Source organism: Homo sapiens, chromosome 19, assembly GCF_000001405.40.
Source record: "Homo sapiens chromosome 19, GRCh38.p14 Primary Assembly".
Classification (NCBI taxonomy): Eukaryota; Metazoa; Chordata; class Mammalia; order Primates; family Hominidae; genus Homo; species Homo sapiens.
In genome coordinates, this window is record NC_000019.10 from 47,201,642 (window position 1) to 47,215,861 (window position 14,220).

General features: G+C 48.1%; 1 protein-coding gene across 4 annotated transcripts in view, besides 2 other annotated features; it reads left to right on the plus strand.

Moving 5' to 3' along the window:
* SAE1 (SUMO1 activating enzyme subunit 1) overlaps positions 1 to 8,995 on the plus strand; it is a 79,802-nt gene extending 70,807 nt beyond the window's left edge. For 3 of the 4 annotated variants that reach the window (NR_027280.2, NM_005500.3, NM_001145714.2), the window contains 2 exons: positions 2,030 to 2,099; positions 7,518 to 8,995. Coding sequence is in view for 3 of the 4 variants with exons in the window: in NM_005500.3 (NP_005491.1) it covers positions 2,030 to 2,099; positions 7,518 to 7,610 (163 nt within the window). In the remaining variant the exon portion in view is untranslated. The remainder of the gene's footprint in view (positions 1 to 2,029; positions 2,100 to 7,517) is intronic. The other variant, NM_001145713.2, reaches the window with a different exon arrangement.
* Positions 7,350 to 8,099: an enhancer, noted in NCBI's record as "NANOG-H3K27ac-H3K4me1 hESC enhancer chr19:47712248-47712997 (GRCh37/hg19 assembly coordinates)". NCBI's record gives its function as "activates a minimal SCP1, AML or CMV promoter by ChIP-STARR-seq in primed H9 embryonic stem cells {active_cell/tissue: H9 hESC(primed)}" and the evidence as "EXISTENCE:reporter gene assay evidence [ECO:0000049][PMID:30033119]".
* Positions 9,091 to 9,385: an enhancer, noted in NCBI's record as "tiled region #12080; K562 Activating DNase matched - State 5:Enh, and HepG2 Activating DNase unmatched - State 25:Art". NCBI's record gives its function as "activates a minimal TATA promoter and a strong SV40 promoter by Sharpr-MPRA in K562 cells, with weak activation in HepG2 cells {active_cell/tissue: HepG2 | K562}" and the evidence as "EXISTENCE:reporter gene assay evidence [ECO:0000049][PMID:27701403]".

Sequence of the window (14,220 nt, forward strand, 5' to 3'; positions counted from 1 at the left end):
TTTAATTATTATTATTGGGAGTCTCTCTCTCACCCAGGCTGGAGTGCAGTGGCACCATCTCGGCTCACTGCAACCTCCACCTCCTGGGTTCATGCAATTCTTCCACCTCAGCCTCCCGAGTATCTGGCATTACAGCTGCCCGCCACCACACCCGGCTAACTTTTGTATTTTAGTAGAGACGGGGTTTCACTATGTAGGTCAAGCTGGTCTTGAACTCCTGACCTCAAATGATCCACCCGCCTTGGCCTCCCAAAGTGCTGGGATTACAGATGTGAGCCACCGCACCCAGCCCTAGTTCTCCATGTATTTTAGAGCTCTGTAGTGGACCTTGATAAGCAGGAAGATGTTACCCCTGGATGAACAAAATGGGAATGTGCTGGTCCTGGCCAGGGCGTAAGGAGCCGGAGGTGCCTTTGGACACAGCTCTTGGGATTGGAATGGATACAGCCTTTTGGGAGGGCATTTTGGCAATACATATGAAAAACTAGCATTGCTATATTTAGAAATTTGTCTTAAGGAATTATTTCGACGCCTGTGTCTTTGTCAAGATGTATGATTACAGTGTTGAACAGCTTAAATGTCCCTCAATAGGTTATAGAACAGAAGAGTAATAGTTGATAATATTTGGGTTTAAAATTATACCTATTTATTTATTTATTTATTTTTTGAGACAGTCTTGCCCTGTCACCAGGCTGGAGTGTAGTTGTGCGATCTCAGCTCACTGCAACCTATGCCTCCCAGGTTCAAGCGATTCTCCTGCCTCAACCTCCTGAGTAGCTGGGACTACAGGCTCACCCCACCACACCAAGCTAATTTTTGTATTTTTAGTAGAAACGGGGTTTCACCATGTGGGCCAGGATGATCTCGATCTCTTGACTTTGTGATCCGCCCACCTCGACCTCCCAAAGTGCTGGGATTACAGGCATCAGCCACTGAGCCCGCCCTAATTATACCCGTTTAGATTGTGCACTTTTAAAAATGTCTAGAAGGGGCTGGGCGCAGTGGCTCACACCTGTAATCCCAGCGCTTTGGGAGGCCGAGGCGGGCGGATCACGAGGTCAAGAGATTGAGACCATCCTGGCCAACATGGTGAAACCCCGTCTCTACTAAAAATTCAGAGTAGCCGGGCGTGGTGGCGGGTGCCTGTAGTCTCAGCTACTCAGGAGGCTGAGGCAGGAAAATGACATGAATCCGGGAGGCGGAGCTTGCAGTAAGCCAAGATCGCGCCACTGCACTCCAGCCTGGGTGACAGAGCGAGACTCCGTCTCAAAAAAAGTCTAGAAGGATGTGCACCACACTGGGGAGATTGGAGGTAGTTCTGTAGGGAGGCTTTCCCTTTCACTTGTCTGTGTTCCAGTTTGCTTGGTGAGCACACAGCATTGTGTTCAGGAGTAGGAGCTGGCAGAGCACACTTCCTTTGGGGAAGTGGTGGAATTAAGTGATTTGCTTACTAGGATGGGTAACTTGGAGGGGCAGGTGACTGTGTCATCTAAAATTTGTCCTCTAGATGCCCCATCCTGGCCCAGAAGGGCTGGTTTCTATGTGGGTTGTGAAGACTTTTTCTGCCCTCATACTTTAATTTCACGCCTCAAATTTCCCTTGCTTCCTACATGTTAACACAGGCCTGCTCCCTGACATTTGTCTGGGAATAGCATATAGAACCCACTGGCCATTATGGGTAAGAAGAGAATTGCGAGAATGTGACCAGGGCACTGAAACATCTGATATCTCTAGGACAGATATAGGAAGCACAGATATAGTCTTTCCTTTAACTTATAAAGGTAAAAATAAAAGTATTGTGAAAGAATTTCTGCTTGCCAAAGTTCAAAGGTCTTTTCCAACCACTTATGAATCCCTTGCTCAGATTTCATTTTCACGCCTAGATGCCAGCATTAACACTGCTATCTGAATCGGGCCCTCCTGCTAGAAGTTGTTTTTATTCAGGAGAGCCTACTACTGAATTTCTCCAGATGTCATGGTCACAGTTCTGTTCCCAGTGCTCCATTTTCCTTGTCTTCCTCTCTTTTAGGTACTGCTTCTCCGAGATGGCCCCAGTGTGTGCGGTGGTTGGAGGGATTTTGGCACAGGAAATTGTGAAGGTAAAACATCACTGTGGAGCAGAAAATTGTTAACCATGACTTTGTATATGTGCTGACAGAGAGAATGGAAACTGTCTTAGACAGCTGCCTGCTTTCTCTCACCCCATTCATCTTTGTTTCATGCCCTCCCCATTTCCACCTCATCCCATTTTCTCTGGCCCATCCAGGTGCCATTCAGCAAATGACCTTGGAGTGCCTGCTCTGTGCTTAGCTCACAGTTGGCCATAGTGCCTCGAAGGTGTGATCTGCTCTCCCCTAACTGTATTAGTTATCCAGTGCCTGTTGTATTGGTCAGGGATTCTGCTTCTCATAGCTCTATAAGTGAGTACTATCATGATCCCCACTTAAGAGGAAGACACTTGGGCCCATGAAAGGGACTCCAGAACCTGTGCTCTTAACCTCTGTACAGTTTATCTCTATTCATCACCATGACATCAAAGCCCTCCCTTTTTTTTTTTTTTTTTTTTTTTTTTTTGAGATGGAGTCTCGCTCTGTCCCCCAGGCTGGAGTGCAGTAGCACGATCTCAGATCACTGCAAGCTCCACCTCCCGGGTTCACGCCATTCTCCTACCTTAGCCTTCCAAGTAGCTGGGACTACAGGCGCCTGCCACCACGCCCAGCTAATTTTTTTGTATTTTTAGTAGAGACAGGGTTTCACTGTGTTAGCCAGGATGGTCTGGATCTCCTGACATCGTGATCTGCCCACCTCAGCCTCTCAAAGTGCTGGGATTACAGGCATGAGCCACTGTACCCAGCCGCACCCCCCCCCTTTTTTTTTTTTTTTGAGACAGAATCTCACTTTGTCTCTCAGACTGGAGTGCAGTGGCATGATCTTGACTCACTGCAACCTCCGCCTCCTGGGTTCAAGCGATTCTCCTGCCTCAGCCTCCCGAGCAGCTGAGAGTACAGGTTCCCACCACCACACCAGGCTAATTTTTGTATTTTTAGTAGTTCACCATATTGGCCAGGCTGGTCTCGAACTCCTGACCTTGTGATCCTCCCACCTCAGCCTCCCAAAGTGCTGGGATTATAGGTGTGAGCCACCGCACCCGGCCAAGCCCCCGTCTTTTTAACCACACACTGTAGGTATTTGTAGAGAAATCAGTTTCTGTGTCCCCATGAACACACCAGGAGCCCCTCAAGGCTCTGTACAGGATGACCCGTGACCCTGTTAGGTAGGTGTTAGTGTGTCTCTCAGAAGGGAAGCATCTTATACAGGGTCACATAACCAGTAACTAGCACAGCCTTTTGAGGGTCTTCTGGAACATTTGGGTTGCTAAAACTATACCATACCCCCAAATATATTGTACATTCTTTGCAGACTTTGCTATTTGCCCGAAGATGTTAAATTTGCCTTTTGCAGGTTCTTGGCTGCCTTCGTGGACTCCGGTGAGGCTTTTTCCTTCTTTCTTATGGAGCAGAGTCGTGCCTGGTTAAATGATTGGCCATGTCCATGTACATGTCAAGTTTGAGCTTGGGAGGACAGTTTGGAGGCCAGCCCTTAACACTTTGTCTTGGGGTCTGTACATTCTGGAGGCGTTTGGCTCAATTTGTTAGTCACACCGTTTTCCTAAGGCTACTTTTTTTTTTTTTTTTTGTCTATTTTTTCTGATCCTTCTCTCTGGTCTAAATTCTTCCTTTGATCAAATCTAACTTTCTTCTATGTAATGGGCACCGAGGAGATATTTGGAGGGGGAAGAAAAGTGTGCAATGGCCATACCTCTTTCCTTGCTCACATTTTATACATAGCCCAGAGTGATGTGAAAATTACAGTTTATATGCCCAATCTGAGAAGAGGGTAATGGCCACCCAGAGGACTGTTCGAGCAGGATTCTGAGGCTCCCTGTAGACAAACTGCAGGAAAGAGTGCAGCAATGGGAATGTTCTAAGTGGGGAATGGGAATGTACATATTTTTGTAGCCTAAAATGACGACACCACCAATAATAGACAAGACTTACTGAAAGCCCACTGTCTGCCACACAAAGACAGTGTTTTTTACGTGGATACTCATTTCATCTCCCACCGGCCCTATGAGGTAGGAACTCCTGTGATCCCTGGTTTATAAAAGAGAGACTAAGGTGCAGGAAAGAAGATGCTTGCCCAGGCTAGTGAGTGTGGTGCCAGGATGTGGGCCCAGGCAGTCTGGTTTCTGAGCCTGTCCTCTTCACCACGGGGCAGTCATGCATCAGGTGTTGCCTTCAATGGCACCATCATGTAGAGACTGCATGGACCCCAGGGCCGCTGCCCTTGCATTGTCAGCCTTACTTCTGCACATCCCATTGAGGGGCTCCCCCTAAATTTTTCATGTGGGATGGAGACTGGAGGTTGGGGCAGGTAGCCTTGACCCCATTGTTGGTGGTAGTTTCTCACATCCCCATCCTCACACAGCCCCCTCCTTCCTGCCTGCTGGAGACAGCTGGTGCCCAGCATCTTGTTTCTGTTTATCCCAGATAGCCAGAGTACTCTGCATTCTTCGTTGCTGGGTGTGTTTGGAATCTCCTCCTACCCCATCTTGCTTGGGAAGCACTTTACCTTTTGCCCCATGTCACCCCATGCCCTGCTCTCATCCCCAGTACTCCTTCATACTTATTACTGGTCAGCCTTCAGCCAGCTGGCAGGCGGGGCCTGCAGTCCAAGGGCCTCAGACTCACCTTTCTCTCCTGAGGCACTGTCTGAGCGCCTATGGAAAGCTTACACTAGGAGATGGGTCAAGCGCAAGTCTGCTCCTTTGGAATCATCTTTTGCGTCTTTCCTTTCTTACGTCCTTCTAGATACCCTATTTTATATCCATGTCTACTTCCTTGGGTTTAAAGCAGTTTTCCTTTCTCTCCATCCCCACCGTCCACGGCAGGTCTCCCTGTCTATGGTAAGAGAGGTGATAGTGAAAGCAGCAGCCATCCCAGGTTCATGGTAAAACACATACCATCTCCTGTATCTTGGGTTTGAGGGTCTAAGAGTTCCACCTGTGTACTGTTGGACCCTTCCACCTGGCTAGGTTGGTGGCATCCCCAGTATTGGTAAAGGACTCCTGGCCCTATTATTATTAATAGCAGCTCCTACTTACTAAGAATTTACTACGTGCTCGGCACTTTACAAGCCTAGTCACATTTCATTCTCACCAAAACTCTAGCAGGCAGGTGCTTTTTATTTGCCTATTTGCCCAGAGAAGCAAACTTCTTTCTGATCCAAGCTCCATGTGGACAGAGACCTCAGAATCCTTAATGTCTAGCTGAATACCTGGCATAGAGTAGATGCTTAATAAATGTTCCCTTGACTGGGTGCAGTAGCTCATGCCTGTAATTCCAGCACTTTGGGAGGATTGCTTGAACCTAGAAGTTCAAGACTAGCTTGGGCAACATGAGGAGACCTCATCTCTACAAAAGTCCCAGCTACTCAAGAGGGTATGGGAGGATATCTGGAGCTGGGGAGACGGAGGTTGCAGTAAGCCGAGAATGTGCCTCCCACCTGGGTAGCAGAACAAGATCCTATCTCAAAAAATTAAAAACATTTACAAATAAATAAAATTTCCCTGGAAAAATGGCTGACTAACACTATTTGTATATGGTAGATGTGATTGTCCCTGTTTTATGGATGAGGAAAAGGGTTTGGTGCTGAGTTTGAAGAGGAGCAGTTCAGGATGTGTAGCCCCACCTTCCTCATGAATGATGGGACGGTGCTCCTGGGAACCGTTAAACCCTGCCCTGGCAGCTTGCCTAGGTGATGTCTTCCTCTTTAAATGGTAGCTTGTGGTGAAATTTCAATCCTTTCTGGGTTAAGGACCTGTTTGAAAATTTGTGACAATTGTGAACCCTTTCTCAGAAAGATGTATGTGCATACAAGACTCAGTATGTTGTTTCGGGGGCTGACCCTGCCTCAAAAGACAGGGCCACGTGCTCACTCTCCTTCCCACCCCTCTCTCTCGCTCTCTGTTGCCCAGGCTGGAGTACAGTGGTGCCATCACAGCTCACTGCAGACTTGATTTCCCTGGACTTAAGTGATCCTCCCACCTCAGCTTCCTGAGGCACTGAGACTATAAGCACACGCCACCACATCCAACTAATTTTTTTTATTTTTTGTAGATATGGGGTTTTGCCATGTTGCCCAGGCTGGTCTCGAACTCCTGGGCTCAAGTGATTCTCCCGCCTCGGCCTCCCTAAGTGCTGGGATTACAGATGTGAGACATTAAGCCCAGCCCTGTTCTTGTATTTTAAAGTGCTCTGTCTGGTAACCCCACAAGATAATCACCATTGCCATTGCTAAATAGCATTGTCCAGGCCCTCTGGATCCCAGCCCTGACCCCCTGTGGAAGCCTAGCGACTCTATGTCCTCATGGAATAGCCCCCGCTTCTGCATCAGTGTGTTCCTTGATTAAATGTGTCCCCTTAGGTGATAAAGGCCACAGCCTAAGAACTGCCACCTTTCTCAGTTGAATAGTCATGAATAATTATTTCTGCTGTTTGCCCAATGGTGGTGCAACACAGTGTTAGTCATTGTTTTAGTTTTAAGGTGTTTTTTTGTTTGTTTGTTTTTTGTTTTGAGACAGGGTCTCACTCTGTTCCCCAGGCTGGAGTATAGTGGCACTATTACAGCTCACTGCAGCCTCAATGTCCCAGGCTCAAGCGATCCTCCCACCTCAGCCTCCCGAGTAGCTGGCACCTTGGGCATGCATCACCATACCTGGCTAATTTATGTCATTTTTCTTTTTCTCTTTTTTTTTGAGACAGAGTCTCACTGTGTCGCCCAGGCTGGAGTGCGGTGGCGCAATCTCAGTTTACTGCAACCTCTGCCTCCTGGGTTCAAGCAATTCTCCTGCCTCAGCCTCCCGAGTAGCATGCCACCATACTCGGCTAATTTCTGTATTTTTAGTAGAGACAGGTTTCACCGTGTTGGCCAGGCTGGTCTCCAACTCCCAACCTCAGGTGATCCGCCCACTTCAGCCTCCCAGAGTGCTGGGATTACAGGCGTGAGCCACTGCGCCCCACCTATTTTAGTTTTCATATAGACGGGATCTCACCATGTTGCACAGACTGGTCTTGAATTCCTGGGCTCAAGTGATTCTCCCACCTCAGCCTCCCAAAGTGCTGGGATTACAGGTGTGAATGTGCCTGGCCCTGGCCTGTTTTACATTTTTGAGATACATAGTTTAACCCAGGCAAATACATTTCTTAATCTCATGTTAGGAAAATAAGGTAATGTTTGGAGAGGTTAAATAATCTCCCCATGGACACACAGCTTGTAAGGGACAGAGCAAGGAGATAGGACAATCAAAATTGTCTCCAGACATTGCCAAATAGCCCTTTGGGAGCAAAATCGACCCCAGTTAAGAACCACTGCCCTAGACTGCTTTTAGAATTTTTTTTTCCCTCTATTCCTCTTAAAGCACTTGAGCTAAACCCTCTTTTCATTTTTCTCCCCAGGCCCTGTCTCAGCGGGACCCTCCTCACAACAACTTCTTCTTCTTCGATGGCATGAAGGGGAATGGGATTGTGGAGTGCCTTGGCCCCAAGTGAACTCAAGATTTGGCAGCCCCAGAGATGCCAACTGCAGCATGCCCACCTGTATTCCCTGTCCCCTTCCTTCATGAAGGCATCTCCAGGCAAGGAAAACTGAAGTCATTGGCCCGATACAAAACATTTCCTGCAACGAAGGAGGTGGTGCCGACGTGCTGCTTCCCATCACCAGCAGCTGCTCGACAAGGGGCGCAGGGTGGCTGTCTTTGTTCCAGCACTGTTCAGGCTGCCTGTCATCCCGGGCCTGCCAGCTCCCCTGAGTGATGAGCACTTCCAAGCACCCCTCTGCCCTTTCTCTGTCCTTATGCTGTCCCGGCCTCGCCAGCCCTCTGGGGCATTGTGGGAGATGCCTGCCAGGAATGAGCAAGCTCTGTTGCTCGGGAGCCTCTTGTCACCTTCTTGGACTTATTCCCCACCTGATACCTTATAGAGAAAAGTGTGAATTCAGGTGGAGAGTAGGCCCAGGCCCCATGAGGCACCAGTGGAAGCACAGCTCCAAGTTCAGACAGGTGCCCTTAGAGAGGAAAACCATGACAGGCAAATGCATTTCCTCTGGAGTTTGAGACCCTGACAAACAACAGGTGGCATCTGGTGTGCTGTTCTTGAGTTTTCGTTTAGGATTAGTTGAGTTCCAGCTGGGTTTTGGGAGAAAGGAGATGCTACCAAGTCTTGGATGTTAGGGCGAGACCCTGCAAGTTGAGTATTAGAGAGCTTGTCTTTCAAGGCAGGTTCCTGGGGCTTCAGGGCTAGGAGGGAGGAGCCTGCCCTTTTAACAGAACCCCAGTCACATGCGGCTCAAGTCACTCAGAGGCTGTTGCATTTCAGGGCTATGTTGGTCCTTTGTTTACCTCCTAAACCACAGCTGTTTGTGTTTCACATATGTTGTGAATTTTCCTTGGTTCTTTTTAAAGGAATGATAATAAAGTTACTTGCTTTAGGATTTGCTTGTTTTTCTTCCACTTCAGAAGCTTCTGAGAGGGAATGGGATGATCCTACCAGTTGCCTTTTCAGACCTGAGGCTCTAACTCAAGAGATTCCTCCTCTCCCTCACCATTCCTGCCACCATTTTTTCTGGGTGATGCAGCAAGAGTTAAATTGTTCACATTCTAGAATGTGTAGAAGCTTCTGGCTCCAGTTGTCTAATGGATAATTCAGCTAAATAGTGGCTATTTTCAGTGGCAAGAATTATAATAATAAAGGGAAGTCAAAAGTGATGCTTCATATGCCCCAAGTGCCACAGCCGCTACGGGTCAGAGCTTTTATTGGAAGACCAGGTTTGCCTTGATGCAGCCAAAGTGCGTTCCAGTTCACCCCACTCTTGCTTGTGTTTCTTCTTTATGTAAATTGTGTGATGTTTCAATAAATCAGTCTCTTTCCTATTCTGATCCTGCAGCAGTTAGTCGGGGAGAAAAGTGGTCTTCACTACAGAAGGGCCTCTGTTCCTCAACCCTGCATCACCTGCTCCCGCCGGAGGTGAGACAGGGGCTGCATTTCGGAAAGGATCCGTGTCTCGCCACCTTTAGTGCAAGTCAGTGGCGTCAGGGTCAGCAGTTACATTGCTGCATGAATTTCACGTGGTCTTTAAATTCTGAGCTAATTATACTCTTGACTGTAATGTGCAGCCTTGGTCACAAGGGGGAGCAGGTGGGTCTGGATTGATAAAAACAAAATTGTAGAATCGTCCCGGAAGCTTCAAACTTTTCCACCCTGTACCTCTAACGGCAGAGATTAAGTCACCCAGAGGACCCCTCAGGAATCGAGGGGAAAGCTGCCAGCCCCAGGCAAGAAATGTCTAGTTTCTACAAATTTCATAAACTGCCACATGATGTTTGTATTAATCATAAAAATGAAGAAAAAAAGGCCAGGCGTGGTGGCTCACGCCTGTAATCCCAACATTTTGGGAGGCTGAGGCGGACGAATCACGAGGTCAGGAGTTTGAGAGCAGCCAGGCCAACGTGGTGAAACCCTGTCTACTAAAATTACAAAAATTAGCCGGGCATGGTGGCGGGTGCCTGTAATCTCAGCTACTGGGGGAGGCTGAGACAGGAGAATCACTTGAACCTGGGAGGCGGAGGTCGCAATGAGCTGAGGTCGCACCACTGCACTCCAGCCCGGGTAACAGTGTGACACTCCATCTCAAAATCTGCAGTCAGTCAGGCATGGTGGGAGGCTGTGGCGGGAGAAGCACTTCAGCCCAAGAGTTCGTGACCAACTTGGGAAACAAAGCAAGACCCCATCTCCACAAAAAAAGAAATAGCTGAGCATAGTGGCTTGTGCCTGTGGTCACAGCTGCTTGGGAGACTGGGGCAGGAGGATCACTTGAGCCCAGGAGTTTGAGGCTGAAATGACCTGGATTTCACCACTGCACTGAAGCCTGGGTGAAAGAGTGAGACACTGTCTCGAAAAAAAAATCCCAGCACTTTGGGAGGCCGAGGCGGGCGGATCGCGAGGTCAGGAGTTCAACACCAGCCTGACCAACATAGTGAAACCCCGTCTCTACTAAAAAAAAAAAATACAAAAACTAGCTGGGCATGGTGGCGCGTGGCTGTAATCCAGCTACTCAGGAGGCTGAGGCAGGAGAATCGCTTGCACCTGGGAGGCGGAGGTTGCAGTGAGCCGAGATCGTGCCACTGCAGTCCAGCCTGGGCAACAGAGCGAGACTCCATCTCAAAAAAAAAAAAAAAAGTTATCTTGACGTATGTTCTATTAGCTCATTACAGGTGTGGAAGAGATGGCTTAGGTTGCAGGTGGTAAGTTTAATGATAACAACCAATGGTCATTATACCCATGCAACCTGCCTGGTACTTTTCAGAATCCTTGTTCTTTGAGTTGGAATCCCCACAGCAACCCCATGGGGATAGATGCTGTTCTCCTACCCATACTGGAGATAAGGAAACAGGCTCACCTCACAAGCAAGGGAGAGATGGAAATGGCGCTGACTGGGAAAGCTGCGGTGCGGGGCACTCAGTAGAGATTCATGTAGTGGCACGGCTTGTTCGCTCAGTGAGAACAAGATTTTGGGCTTCCCTTCACAAGTCCCTGAGACCCAGTAGTCACTGGAAAACATCATGTCGGCCTTCATAAAAGAGGGCCTTCAACTAGGTCCAAAAGGGTGGGTGGATTTGGTTCCTAAGCTTGTACGATATTCAAGCAATATACAAGCATAAAGAGAAGATTCCTCTCCGCTGCAGGGCACAGCCTGTCAGCACAATGTTGGCCACATAATAAGAGCAGCTGACTTCACAGCTAAACTGCATTTTGGAGAGAAATATGAGATGCTTTTTGGACATGTTAGCTGTATCCACTTTCTTTTTTTCTTTTTCTTTTTTCTTTTTTTTTTTTTTAATAGACGGAGTCTTGCTCTGTCACCCAGGCTAGAGTGCAGTGGTGTGATCTCGGCTCACTGCAACCTCCACCTCCTGGTTTCAAGCAATTCTCCTGCCTCAGCCTCCCAAGTAGCTGGGATTACAGGCCCCGGCCACCATGCCCAGCTAATTTTTGTACTTTTAGTAGACAGGGTTTCACCATGTTGGCCTGGCTGCTCTCGAACTCCTGACCTGAAGTAATCCACCTGCCTCAGCACCCAAAATGCTGGGATTATAGGTGTAAGCCACAGCGCCCAGCCTAGCTTTATCCACTTTCATATCCACTCCCCGGAGGTCACCCCTGTTAACTGTTGAGAGTGAATCCTTCCAGACTGCCATGTTCAAACCTAGACTCTACCACTCAGCCATGTGACCCTCGCTACACTACTTTCTGTTACCCCATCCCTAAAATGGGTAGAATAGTGGCACATTCCTCAGATATGTGGGGATTAAAAAATCAGTCTTTGAATCAATATTGCTCAATGTTAGCTGCTATTTTACATATTCATAAATAACTTTTTCTCCAATGTGCTTTTTTCTCAATATGTCTTGGAGATCCTTGTCAGTATTTCATGCATCAAATTCCATAACCAAAACAGGTGAACCATTAACTATTGAATCAGTCTGCTGCTGTGTGACATTGTGCACACTTAGGAAAGACTTCCCAAAGCCAAGTTCCAGGGTTAGCAAGTATAAAAATGCATTTTAGGAGTTGGTTCTTGTTTTTTATTTTGTTTTGTTTTTTGAGACAGAGTCATGCTCTGTTGCACAGGCTGGAGTGCAGTGGCGTGATCTCGGCTCACTGCAACCTCTGCCTCCCGGATTCAAGCAACTCCTCTGCCTCAGCCTCCTGAGCAGCTGGGACCACAGGCGCCCACCACCACGCCTGGCTAATTTTTCTATTTTTAGTAGAGACGGGGTTTCACCATATTGGCCAGTCTGGTCTCGAACTCCCAACCTGATGATCTGCCCACCTCAGCCTCCCAAAGTGCTGGGATTACAGGCATGAGCCACCGTGCCCAGCCTGTTTTGTTTTTTTAGTGATAGGGTCTTACTCTGCCACCCAGGCTGGAGTGCAGTGGTGTGCAATCATGGCTCACTGAAATCTTGATTTTGAGGGCTCAAAGTGAGTCTCCCACCTCAGTCTCTTGAGTAGCTGGGACCACAGGCAGGCACCACCATACCTGGCTAATTTTTTCCCCCGGCTAATTTTTTTTTTCTTTTCTTTTTCTTTTTTTTTTTTGAGTTGGAGTGTTGCTCATTTGCCTAGGCTGGAGTGTAGTGGCATGCTCTCAGCTCACTGCAAGCTCCACCTCCCGGGTTCACGCCATTCTCTTGCCGCAGCCTCCCGAGTAGCTGGGACTACAGGCGCCCGCCACCACGCCCGGCTAATTCTTTGTATTTTTAGTAGAGACAGGGTTTCAGCATGTTAGCCAGGATGGTCTCGATCTCCTGACCTCGTGATCCACCCGCCTCGGCCTCTCAAAGTGCTGGGATTACAGGCGTGAGCTACCACGCCCGGCCTTTTTTTTTTTTTGTATTTTTAGTAGAGACGGAGTTTCACCATGTTCCCCCTGGCTAATGTTTTTAAAATTATTGGCTGGGTGCGGTGGCTCATGCCTGTAATCCCAACATTTTGGGAGGTCGAGGTGGCTGGATCACCTGAGGTCAGGAGTCACCAGACCAGCCTGACCAACATGGTGAAACCCCGTCTCTACTGAAAATACAAAAATTAGCTAGGTGTTGTCCACATGCCTGTAATCCCAGCTACTCTGAAGGCCGAGGCAGGAAAATCGCTTGAACCCAGGAGGTGGAGGTTGCAGTGAGCCGAGATCGAGCAGTTGCACTCCAGCCTAGGCAACAAGAGCGAAACTCCATCTCAAAAAATATATATACATATTTTTAGTAGCCATGAGGTCTCACTATGTTGCCCAGGCTTAAACTCTGGCCTCAAGTGATCCTCTTACCTCAGCCTCCTAAAGTACTGTGATTACAGATGTAAGCTACTACGTCTGGCTGGTACTTTTCTTTCTTTTCTTTCTTTTTTTTTTTTTTGAGATGAAGTCTCACTCTATCGCCCAGGCTGTAGTGCAGTGGCACAATCTCGGCTGACTGCAACCTCCGCCTCCCGGGATCAAGCAATTCTCCAACCTCAGCCTCCCAAGTAGCTGGGATTATAGGTGCACGCCGCCCAGCTAATTTTTTAATTTGTAATTTTTTTACTTTTTATTTATTTATTTTGAGACAGAGTTTCACTCTTGTCACCCAGGCTGGAGTGCGATGATGTGATCTTGGCTCACTACAACTTCCACCTCCTGGGTTCAAGCAATTCTCCTGCCTCAGCCTCCTGAGTAGCTGGGATTACAGGTGCCCACCACCACACCCAACTAATTTTTGTATTTTTAGTAGAGACAGGGTTTCACCATGTTGACCAGGCTGGTCACAAACTCCTGACCTCAAGTGATCCACCCGCCTCAGCTTCCCAAAGTGCTGGGATTACAGGTGTGAGCCAACACTACCGGCCAGAAATTTACAGATGTTAAAGGCTCAGTGAATCCCAAACGGGATAAACATGAAGAATATCATGTTTAGAAAAAACATCTAGGTGGCCGGGTGCAGTGGCTCATGTCTGTAATCCCAGCTGCTCAAGAGGCTGAGGCAGGAGAACTGCTTGAACCCAGGAGGCAGAAGTTGCAGTGAGAATCATGTCACTGCACTCCAGCCTGGGCGACACAGCGAGACTCAGTCTCAAAAAAAAAAAAAAAAAAAAAGGAGGCCGGGTGTGGTGGCTCACGCCTGTAATCCCAGCATTTTGGGAGGCCAAGGCCTGAAGTTGGGAGTTTGAGACTAGCCTGACTAACATGGAGAAGCCCCATCTTGACTAACATGGAGAAGCCCTGTCTCTACTAAAAATACAAAATTAGCCGGGCAAGGTGGCACATGCCTGTAATCCCAGCTACTTGGGAGGTTGAGGCAGGAGAATCACTTGAACCCAGGAGGCGGAGGTTGTGGTGAGCCAAGATCGTGCCACTGCACTCCATCCTGGGCAAAAAGAGCGAAATTCTGTCTCAAAAAAAAAAAAAAGAACCTCCATCTCCATGCTTAAATACTTGTGAGCAGGGCAAAGGCCATGCAGAGAGTGTTCACACCCAGACCAACGCCCTGCTTCGCCTTCACTGCAGTGCATGCCATCCCTTTGGTAGAGGATGAGACACCTTCCCATAACTGGCTCCCCTTTCTCATAA